Source organism: Homo sapiens, chromosome 10, assembly GCF_000001405.40.
Source record: "Homo sapiens chromosome 10, GRCh38.p14 Primary Assembly".
NCBI lineage: Eukaryota > Metazoa > Chordata > Mammalia > Primates > Hominidae > Homo > Homo sapiens.
The window spans coordinates 10,414,590-10,426,873 of NC_000010.11; the positions used below are offsets into that span (position 1 = coordinate 10,414,590).

At 40.2% G+C, this 12,284-nt stretch overlaps 1 long non-coding RNA gene across 1 annotated transcript in view; it reads right to left on the minus strand.

Annotated features, from left to right (window-relative positions):
- Positions 1-4,948: 4,948 nt before the first annotated feature.
- Positions 4,949-12,284, minus strand: part of CELF2-DT (CELF2 divergent transript) — a 42,812-nt gene continuing 35,476 nt past the window's right edge. The window contains exons 3-4 of the long non-coding RNA NR_120637.1: positions 8,009-8,185; positions 4,949-5,007 (exon numbers count right to left, since the gene is read on the minus strand). This is a non-coding gene — a long non-coding RNA (CELF2 divergent transript). The remainder of the gene's footprint in view (positions 5,008-8,008; positions 8,186-12,284) is intronic.

Genomic DNA, 12,284 nt, shown 5'->3' on the forward strand with positions numbered 1-12,284 from the left:
GACCAAGTGTAGTACTGTCTATGGTTCCTAAGCTCTAGAGGGTTGTGATGTGACTTACAGAGAAAGTACACGTTTTGGATAAGCTTCCTTTAGGCATCAGTTGTGCCATTAGCAGTGATTTCTATATTAATGAATCAACAATGCATATCAAGTTAGGTGTCTTGAAACAGAAAACGAGGTTATGCGTTGATCAGTTGACAAAAAAGGTGACCAGAGGCTTATAGTAACCTAACCCTGTATTTCCATGCAGAAAAATGGTTCTGTATTTGCTAGTGTTCATGGTAACTTGATGGACCATAACTACCACACATCATGAGAATCAACCATACTTGCAATATGTACACTTTATAGAGGACTCATATCCAAATATTTTAAAGAACTCTTACAAAACAATGAGAAAATGAGACAATCCTACATAAACATGGGCCAAAGATTAAACAGCTACTTCACGGAAAGGAAAATCCAAATAGCCAGTGAACTGATGGGATGGTAGACTTTGATATTTGTCTCATCTCTGTTCTTTCCCTCAATGTCACTCACAAAAATCGTAATCTACAATTTGGATAAGATATCTTTAACTTTCAATCTGGCAAGCTCCCAATGCAAATATATTCTTGTTGTAGTAGTTTTCCCCTACAAACAAGGGAGAAGTTATGCCTGATAAAGTGTCAACTGTTATGATAGAATAAACATACAGCTACAATTATCTAAAGTTAATCAAATATCACAAGGCCATATTTTAGTTATCAAGCTATAAAAAAGTTTGAGACTAATGTTTGCGATACACATAATAACTAGATGTATAGGGTTTTAATAGAGGGTGTTGGTGTTTTCTGGGAAAATAATAAGAATGATAACATTAAAATCTTGTGGAAACAAATAAACTGAAAGATTTTAAGATTTTAAGACTGAGTGATTCCACTCAGACAACTTTTGTTAGGATCTCTTTGGATCTGCTATTTGTCTTCCACCGCTGTGGCTTTGCTCATGCATTTGCCTGCGTGCTACCACCCACTGCAATACTGACCGTTATTTCTGCTAAGCTAAAAGTATTGCCACTCCTTTGAAGTTTGTTCTGGTTTCTCCTCTAGGAGTAATCCCTTTTGCTTCTGAGCTCCCACTGTACTGTCCAGACTTTCAGCCCTTTCTGCTCTGCTATGTATTCATTTGTGTATATTCTATCTTCCACACTAGATTACAAATTCTGCCCAGGGTACAAACAATGCACACTACCTATTTAAATCCTCTTAGTATCTACCTCTCACAGTGACTTCAAATTTGAGCTGTGTTTAATAAATGATTAATTTAAAGAAAATCTGATATGGTTTGGTGGTGTGCCCACCCAATCTTATCTTAAATTGTAGCTCCCATAGTCCCCACATGTCATGGGAGGGACCTGGTAGGAGGTAATTGAATCATGGGGGCGGGTCTTTCCAATGCTGTTCTCGTGACGTGAATAAGTCTCATGAGATCAGAAGGTTTTATAAAAGGCAGTTCCCCTGCACAGGCTCTCTTGCCTGCTGCCATGTAAGATGTGGTTTTGCTCCTCCTTCACCTCTTACCGTGATTGGGAGGCCTCTCCAGCCATGTGGAACTGTGAGTCCATTGAACCTCTTTTTCTTTATAAATTATGCAGTCTCAGGTATTTCTTCATAACAGTAAGAAAATGGACTAATACGACAAATACTTGCTCTATAAAATCAGTTTTAATCATCATTCTCTAGAGAATGAAAAATAACCAGAAGAAAGTAGAGAATAAGTAGGATAAAAATAAAACTCCAGCAGAAGAAAATACGTAAAGCAAAACTGACAAAAGCACTTAAAGACAATGTGTGATCAGGTAAAGAAAAGTCCCTTTACTTCCACATTCAGTTCTTCCCATCTCACCTATGTTTCTGGTTTTCTTTGTTTGGTTTTCGCCTTTCACTCTACCTGTCTACCAAAATCAGCTTTCCCTACCTCTTGCCACCCAGCTGGTTTGGGCTGATGCCAGGCTAGAGCTCATCCTTATCACAGCAGTAGCTGGACCTCTGGCTACCCCAGTTTTTATCACTTGCCCCCTGCCATAAAGCTTAGTGCAACACTAACTCCAAAGTACCCCACCAGCGTGCTCAGAGACAACAGAAATGTTCTGGCTACCTTCAAGGAGGCAGTCTTTCTTTTTAATTTTGACAGCCAATTGAAAAACGATTCTAGGTACCACATTACTACCTGACAAAAATATGTCTAACTTGGAAAAGTCAGTTGATCATTTACTTCTAAGATCAATCTCTGAAAAAATAATTGGGCATTCAGAGCAATCAGAGTCAAATTTCTTCTGCTTGTCCCCACAGATTAACACTTTAATTTTAGGCATCTATCAAAAAATACATTTTCGGAGGCTTTAGATTTTGAACTGGATGGATCATTGGTCTGCTAGAATACAGAAAATGTTTAAAAACTATAGCACCTGATGGAGTCCCTAAGGCAAAAGTGTGATTGTGGGTGATGCTTTAAGCAATATTTTTACCCCTCAGTCTTGGGAGAATCCTTTGTCCCATGCTCTAGAGACACCTGTTTCATCGTGGCAACAGCTAGAAATACGGTACCCTGTGTCTGCACCACATCACTTCGTGGACCCTGTGGGTCCCAGGAGAGACTAGTTAGAGCCTCTTGCTGCAAACAAAGGAAACATCAAAGGAGATGACAGAACAGAGAGGGTGAATGAATTCATGGAGACAACCAAGTTACTTCAGGCCCAAGGCCTTGGAAAAAACATTCGGCCTTACCTAAACAATGCCATAAGTGGATAAAGTATCCAACTGATTAAAGATTCATCATTATCTCCATAATTCCTACATCATCAAAAGCCCGGAGTGGATAGCTGCAGAGCCAGGGCCCAGTGGCTGGCTCAGAGGAGAAGCAGGAAGAGACACACACTGAGCATTCCTCCCAGCAGCCCAGATTTGCACCTCTGATTGCCTCCTGGGAGGTAGTCTCAGATTGTCCCTGGAGTGCAAAGATGTAAACTTTTAACTGAAAAGGTCCAAAATGAACTTATTTTCACCTACAAAGAGGTTCTTGACCTCTTATTTCATTCCTTTCCTTGTTAGTGGCACCAACGTACATCAAGGTAGGACTTGAGAATGGCTCTAGACACTTCCCTGTCCCCACCCTCAGGTCTGTAAATACTCACCAGATTCTTCAGGCTGTGTTAGCTAAACATGTCTTTAACTCCCAGCTGCCTCCATCTTAGTCATGTCTTAGTCGTCCTCTAATTCATTTTCCATGTTTTAACTCATAATAATGTCTGTTGCTAACTTACCCAAACCATCGCATAACTTCCCATCAGCCCTAGGATAAAATCCAGATCCTGTAATAAAATAAACTAAAGTCTGTCATCTGAGTCTAAGCATTACTTCCTGCTGATCTTCACTATTTTATCTTTTATGCTTTATTGGTGCTAAACTACTTCCATTTCCCTACATGGATCACATAGTGCATATTCCAGTCCTTTCTTTTTACTTGCTTTCCTTCCACTTGAAATATAATTTCCCTTCCTTTCTTTTCCACTGCCCCTGCCTAAGGAACTTCAACTCAGCCCTGAGCCTAGCACAGGTGACACCCCGTTAAGGGATGCCCTGAACCCTGTATCTTCTTGCCTTGCTACCTGTTACCTTGGTCATTCTTTCTTGTTACACATAGTCTGCTGTGCTTGGATTGTGTGCCAGTCTCTTCACCTGTATATGAATTAATTTACTAGAAGCCAGGGACCAAGTTGTCTTCTATTTATCACCAGTGCCTCACAGTCCCTGGACTGTGGTAGGCACAAAATAAATATTTTAAGCTGAGTGGAGTCGAAGTGAATGACAATCCTGTTGCTGAGGCAGTGCATGAAATAAAAAGATTCAAATGCAAAGTGCCAAATGAGAGCTTAGTGACTCAAAAGAGAGAACAATTACTCTGGGCTAGGGAGGGTTGGATGAGGCAGAATATTCGATAGAATCAGCATTGTGTTGCACGGGCTTTTATGTTCCTTTCAGTCTCCACAGAGCTACAGTAAATGGAGGAAGTGGTTGATTCGAAAGTTTCAGGGAGGGAACAGCAGGCCTCTCTTCTGTTGCGTAATGTGTCCCTTAAAGCACGTGAAAAATCAAGCATGGAACAGGCTTTTATATGAATAAACAAAATAATTAATATCCCTGGCCAAGGTATTTTTATTTAGTTTATCAGTATCCAGAGTTAATACAAAGAAAGTAAGTAGGTTCTCTTTTTGCATTGCTAAACAATAAGGGTCTACCAAAATAACTTTTGCTGGGCTCCAGCGTCAGCCTGTAAGACAGGTGGCCACTTCTATCCATAGAGCATTAAGAGACACCTTTCTGGCAGTTTTGGAAAAGCACTATGTCCCTGTTCCCAGACTTCAAGGTTTAAGTAATATTCAGTTCCAATTTCAGAGCATCCTGCTAGAAAATAATTTTTTTAATTAAAAAGGTACACATTTATGGTATATAACTGCTTTCAAATATTTAATCATTGGAAATGGCTAAATTGAGCCATTAACATATGCATTACCTCACATGCTTATTTTTTGTGGTGAGAATATTAAAATCTTAGTGATTTTCAAGAATATAATACAGTGTTAATAACTATAGTCACCATGTTGTGCAATAGATCTCTTAAATCTTATTTTTTCTAACTGAAATTTTATATTATTTCACCGACACCTCCCCACCTCTCCCTCCAGCCTACTGCTAGTCCCTGGTAACCATTATTCTGCTCTCTGATGAGTTCGACTGTTACAGATTCTACATATAAGTGAGCTCATGAGGCACTTGTCTTTTTGTGCTTGGTTTATTCTACTCAGCACAGTATCTCCCAGCTTCATCCTTGTTGTCAAGAATGACAGAATTGACCACATGCAGTGGCTCACATCAATAATTCTAACACTTTAGGAGGCTGAGGCAGGAGGATCACTTGAGCTCAGGAGTTCCAGACCAACCTTGGCAACATAGGGAGATCTTGCTTCTGTAAAAAATAAAAAACAAAACCATTAGCTGGGCATGGTGGTGTGTGCCTGTAGTCCCAGCTACTCAGGAGGCTGAGGCAGGAGGATCACTTGTGCCTGGGAGGTCAAGGTTGCAGTGAGCTTTGATCACACCACTGCATTCTAGTCTGGGTGACAGAGTAAGACCCTGATCACACCACTGCACTCTAGTCTGGGTGACAGAGTAAGACCCTGTCTCAAAAAAAAAAATTCCTTCTATTTCTTTTTTTGGGGGGGCAGGGGGACAGAGTCTTGCTCCATCACCCAGGCTGGAGTGCAGTGGCGCGATCTCGGCTCACTGCAAGCTCCGCCTCCTGGGTTCATGCCATTCTCCTGCCTCAGCCTCCCGAGTAGCTGGGACTACAGGCACCTGCCGCCATGCCTGGCTAATTTTTTGTATTTTTAGTAAAGACGGGGTTTCACCGTGTTAGCCAGGATGGTCTCGATCTCCTGACCTCGTGATCCGCCCGCCTCGACCTCCTCTTTTTTTTTTTTTTTTTTAAGGAAGTAGTGTAAGTAGTATACCATCGTGTGTATATAGCACACTTTCTCCATCTGTCAATGGACACAGGTTGATTCCCTATCTTGGCTATTGTAAATAGTGCTACCATTACATGTGAGTGCAGACACCCCTTTGACCTATGGACCTATGGATTTTGGTTCCTTTGGATGGTGGGATTGCAGATAGTTTCATTCTTAATATCTTGGGAAACCCCCATACTGTTTTCCATAATGGCTGCATTAATGGACATTTACACCGACAGTGTGGAAGAGTTCTGTTCTCTGCATTCTTGCCAACACTCAATATCTCTTGTCTTCTTGATAATAGTCTTTCTAACTGGGGTGAGGTAATATCTTATTGTGACTTTAATTTGCGTTTCCCCAAAGATTAGTGGTGTTAAACATTTTTTCATATGCCTGTTGGCCATTTGTACATATTCTTTTGAGAAATACCTACTCAGATCCTTTGCCCATTTTAATTGGGCTGTTTTCTTACTGTTGAGTTCTTTATTTTAGATGTTAACCCATTATCAAATGTGTGGTTTCCAAATATTTTCTCCCATTCTGCAGGTTGTCTCTTCACTCTGTTGATTGTTTCTTTTGCTATGTAGAAACTTTTAGTTTGATGTAACCCCATTTGTCTATTTTTGCTTTTATTGACTATGCTTTTGGGGTCACTTTTTAAAAAAATAATTGCCCAGACCAATGTCATGGAGCTTGGCCCCAGTGTTTTCTTCTAGGAGTTGCTGTACCACTTCGTGCACATTTTGATGCCTATCAAACCATAATGATGATTCCTTCAGGGACTCTCTCTCTCTAAACCCAGGTAACCATTCAGCCACATGAAAACATCATAGATGTCAGCCAGGCCAGCAGGCTGCTCCCAGTTATTTCAGGAAACTAGAGGTTCTGAACATCTTGAACTGCTCCAATGCCCTTCCCACATCTCACAACTTCTAAGCTTTACACATGTCATAGGAAGCCCACTAATTCCTGAAAGAGGATGGGGAAAGATGTCTGTCATTCTCAGTCACTCCACAGTTGACTTGAGTCATAATTGCCAGACCCTGTCAATCCTTTTGAACAAACTCTGGGCTGCCTAGATGAAGTTACCCAACTGTTTTTATGGCTCCACTGCAGATCTGTGCTTGACTTCAGCAGGGAGAGGAAGTGGGAGGATGTGAACACTTCACAAGGAGGAGAGATTGCTTCTGATCATGAGAAAACGATAGAAACAAATCTCACGTCTGATTCAGCATGCTCCAGCCCCTAATCCCTACGGGTTTGAATTAGGGGTCATTACACATCAGGAAAGCAGAATGAAGGCTTCGTGGCCCACACACATCGTCCCCCAGCATCCCAGTTCTGGCCTTCCAGAACTGCCAGCAGCCATAACACCTACACTGGCAAAAACCCCACTGTCATCTTGACTGAATTCAGATTTTCCTTCCAGAAATCACATCTCTCATGCAGAGCCTCATTAGAAAGTCTGAATATTCATTCCTTTCATGAACCTCATAACTAAATTCTGCTTAAGAAAGGTTGCTTAGGGGCGCTGATACCTATTGTAGGAAGTCGTGAGTTGTGTAAAAGAAGTAATGGGCTCTTTGTAGACAGTTTCACTAAGGATAGTTCCTCCTGTCTGAAAAGCCTCCTTACATCATTCCTCAAAGCTGCCAGTGTAACATAGACTTGAGAAGCCCTCTTTTATGCCGGGTAACTTGGTCTCACAGTCCTCAACTGGGGGGATGAAGGCTTGTTGACCACTGCCAGCATCTGCAGTGTCTCCACTTGTAATTTTTTATTCTCTAGGAGTAGGGGCAGTGGATTTTCTTTTCTGTGAGAACCATGCAAGATGACCAAGAAAGGAAATGCCACCCTCCTTTACCCAAAAACATCCCGCTGCTCCAGTCTTGCTCACCAAACACAAAACATTCAATAGAAGGACATAGTTTTCTATGCAACAGTCAAGTAGCCCAGGAGTTTGAGAGCAGCCTGGGCAAGACAGCAAGTCCCCAGCTCTACAAAAAGTTAAAAAAATAAAATAGTTTGGTAGGGTAGTGCGTGACTGGAGACCCAGTGACTCAGGAGACTAAGGCAGGAGGATCACTTGAGCCCAGGAGTTCATGACTGCAGTGAGCTAGGATTACACCACTGCACTCCAGCCTGGGCAACAGAGTGAGACCGTCTCAACAAATAAATTAGATATACTTGACAGTATTTTTAAAGTATAATACAGGGTAAGAAATATATAATTTATATAATCTTAATGGGTATATAGAGAGTTATATTTCTTAGCTAACTAAACTTGTGTTTAGCTTATTTATTCCCAACATCAGAAGGGGACCATGTAGAGTTAGGCATTCTGTGAAAAGTGTTCCCTTTCTGGATCCAAAGAAGAGTGTTTATAAATGTTCCTCCTCTCCTTCAAATCTGCCTCCCTCCACCCCTCAGGCCTGTGTTTCAGAATTCAGGACTCACCTTTTGCTTTCCATATCCAGCTCAGGCTCCGCTGCAGCAAGTCCTGTACTGGTTAAGTCCTTAGCTGAGCTGAGTCGTCGGTGCATCTCGACAAGGCCAGCAATGCTTTTCCCCAGACAGCACAGCCTGGTCTCACTTGGGGAAAGACTATCACTCTTGTTAGGATGACTCTAGCTTCTGGAAAACAAAAACCACAACAGTATTGTTTTAAGGAATACTGATTCTTTTCTGGGCCCGTCTTACCTTGAAAGAACCACCATATAACTATCCATGTCTTCTTCCTCATCCTTCAATGAGGATTGTAAGCATGAGCTCAGATGAGGTTATTTTTATGCCACATATGGCTTACCTCCTGTGTCAGTCCATTCTCATATTGCTGTAAAGAAATACTGGAGAATAGGTAATTTATTTTTTTTTAAAAAAAGGCTTAATTGAGTCACCGCTCTGTAGGCTGTAAAGAAAGCATAGTGGTATCTGCTGGGGAGGCCTTGGGGGAGCTTCCAATAATGGCAGAAGGCAAAGGGAAGTGAGCTTCTTACATGGCAGGAATAGGAGCAAGAGAGCAAGACAGGAGGTGCTACATATATTTTTTTTTTTTAAACGGAGTCTCGCTCTGTTGCCCAGGCTGGAGGGCAGTGGGGCAATCCCAGCTCACTGCAACCTCCGCCTCCCGGGTTCAAGCGATTCTCCTGCCACAGCCTCCTGAGTAGCTGGGACTACAGGTAGATGCCACCATGCCCGGCTCATTTTTGTACTTGTAGTAGAGATGGGGTTTCACCACGTTGGCCAGGCTGGTCTTGAACTCCTGACCTTGGGTGATCTGCCCACCTTGGCCTCCCAGCTACTGTGCCCAGCCAGTGTTACACATTTTTAAACAACCAGATCTTGTGAGAACTCGCTATCATGAAAAACAGCACCAAGGGGATGGTACTAACCCATTCATGAAAGACCACTAGCATGCACTCATCACCTCTACCAGGCCCCGCCTCCAACACTGGGGATTATGATTTAACAGCTTTGGGTGGGGAACACAGATCCAAAGCATATCACTTCTATTCCCACCCATTCCCAATTAAAGAGGAAAAAAAAGTTTAGGTTATTCTACCATATTAATTTTGTACAAAATAGATTTTTCAGAAATCTCTAATAGATATGTCTAAAGAATCTATTGAAGGAGTGAATGGATCTGAGATCACTACATAAACCATGGAACAAGTGCAATTTTCTGATAAAAGCCATGTAGGATTGGGGATTTTGGCTAAGATTCCTCCTTAGTAGGAGACATTCGATGTATATAGTCACAAACGTGAACAAGCTAATATAGAAGAGCTCAGGATAGAGTCTCTGTAAGCTGGGATGTATCCAATTGCCCAGGAACATGTTGATCTCAAGACCAGCAGGAAATCAGAGTAATTATTGTAATTTAATTTAAAAACATAAATCATTGACTAATGGGGATAAGAGTGTAACATAATAGTAGGAAATGGGTTGCAGCTATTTTCCTTGGAAGAAATGCATAGCATGAAAGGGTTAAAAACAAGCTTTACATTTACTTACATATTTAAATTTAATTATATATTCATTTGTATTTAGAGAAATGACACAATGCCACTATTATTACCACCAACTTGTTAAAATATCCTAATAATAAAGAACTGGAAATAAAAAGTGAAGATGGCCTGTCTGGAAGTGGATCAACTATAGAATTTCATGGAACATTTCTGAGAAAGGCTAGATTTTTGTCCAGATTCTATGGCAAAAAGGGTTATTTACCTAGTCCTCAATACAAACCAAGAACACCACCTTGGAAAGCAAATGGTGCTTTTGCAAAATGCTGTATGAACTCTTTCCGATCTTTAAGGTACCACTTTGAAGAACAGAGGACACAAGGATACAAGTTGTTTTATTTTCCCCGAGGTTACAAAGAAAGTTTTCTAAAGTTAAACATTTTGAATTGTGAATGTAATGTACAACATGTAACACACAGACTGGTTGTGAAAGTTGACCTTATTATCGTAGGCAGTAACGCTATTTTGCCATAGAATCTGGACAAAAATCTAGCCTTTCTCAGAAATGTTCCATGAAATTCTATAGCGGAACCACTTCCAGATAGCCCATCTTCACTTTTTATTTCCAGTTCTTTATTATAAGGATATTTTAACAAGTTGGAGGTAATAACAGTGGCATTGTGTCATTTTTCTAAATACAAATGAATATATAATTAAATTTAAATACGTAAGTAAACGTAAAGTTAGTTTTTAAAAGTGTTCCTCTGGTCCTTCATTTATTGATTTAATAGATAGATGCTCATGGAATATCTTTAACGTTCAAGGGTGACCTCAGGGTGACGGGGTGGTGTAAAGAGTATAGGGTAAGCAAAGAGGGGAGACACTGGCCCTGCTTGCAAGCCTCTTGCAACACAGATGGAATTAGAGGGAAACACATGAAGAATGACATATTAGTCAGAATGCCATAGGTATTGAGATAGGCACACAAAATAATGCTATAGGGTTTAGAGGATGAGTCATTCATATCTAATAAATGAAACTAAATAGGACTCAGGATATTGCATTTGAGTTAGGTTTCAACAGTTACCTGGGGTATATTGGGAAAATGTAGATACATAGAATGGGGTGAAAAGAGGCCTAATTCAGGAAAGTGTCGAGTAATTCCACAGGTCCTCACAGTCCACACAACTACCCCCATGAAATTCTGCATGCAATTTTTCTGGGAAAGTCCCCAGCTTTCACCAAACATTCAAAAATACTCTAAATCCCCAAAATGTTGAGAAACCCTCTGCTGTAGATCATATTTTGGGAGTAACAAGAAATGCAAGTTGTTTAATATGTAATACACATTTTACCCTAAAAACAATTAAAGTACAAAATCATCAAATAGTAAACAAAAAAAGGAAATAATTTTAACCTCTGCATTTTGAAAGTGAGAAAAAGAGACTCTGGGAAGTGAGGGGTCTTGATTATAACCACTGAGATCATTACTAGATAAAGCTAAGGCTAAGTTTTAGAAAGCCTTTCGTTAAAATATGTGAAGAATGGAGTTTATTTACTAGGCAGTAGGGAGTCATTAAATCATTTTGTACAAGGAGCATATATAAAAGATCTGCCTGGAAGAACTAACTGTTCATTAGATTGGAGAGGGAAGAGTCTAGACTAAAAGCCAACTGGAATTCATTACAACAACTCAAAGCAGAATCAGTGATGGTCTAAATCTGAAATGGTGGTAGAGGAAATGAAATTGAGGTATAGGTTGAGAATTTCTTATCCAAAATGCTTAAGACCAGAAGTTTTAGGATTCTTGGAATATTAGCATTATGCTTTCTCACCCATTGAACATCCCAAACCCAGAATCTGATAACCACAATACAAAATGTTCCAATGAACATTTTGAGTGTCATGTCAGTACTCAGAAAGGGTTCAGATTTCGGAGAATTTCACATGACAGTTTTGAACTGGGATTAATCAACCTGTAATGTATTCAAAAACCTGAATAAAGGTGAAAGTCACAGGAGTCAGAATGGAATAGGTAGGAACACTAAAGAGAGGCAGGTGTCAAAGACAACTCACAGATTTAAAGTCTTGGAAACGGGGAGGATGTTGCTGAAATAGGTACCAGTTTCAGGAGGAAGGTAATATTTTGGTTTGGGATATGGATAGTTTGATTAACAAAGAAAATTGCTAACTTCCTTACAAAATTGGTGGCTCTACAGTTAGTTTTCAAATGGAACTGAACATCAGCCCAATGACAATTATACAATCTGAGCTGATACCCATTTACTGGCCTGGTACTGACTTTCTACTGGTGCACGCACACTACATGCAAGCAATAAAAACACAGTTGAATCTGTCTGGCCTTTATAGATGAAAGTAGAAAGAAAAAATTAGAATAAGTTTTATTTTACCCATAGGTTTATGAACATTTATTTCTATAGCCATATCAATCAATGCTACTGACTCAATACATATGCATTTCATCAGCTCCTATGATATATTAGTAATGTTTACAGGTAAATTTTTGGGGGGATGTGTGCAAAAGTCAATAGTTTTGAACTTGAAGTAACTGACAGGTTAGTAGAGTTGTCACACATAAATACGATCACTTCTTTCTCAACACCACATTGCTTAATCCTAACATGCTAGAAGCCTCGTAAAATATGCACGTCCCATTTGTTCTTCCCTTAAAAATAGTTTTACTCTGTTAGAATTTGGAGGCTGGTAAGAATTAACCAAAAATTCAAGAACAAACCTTGTCTCTATAG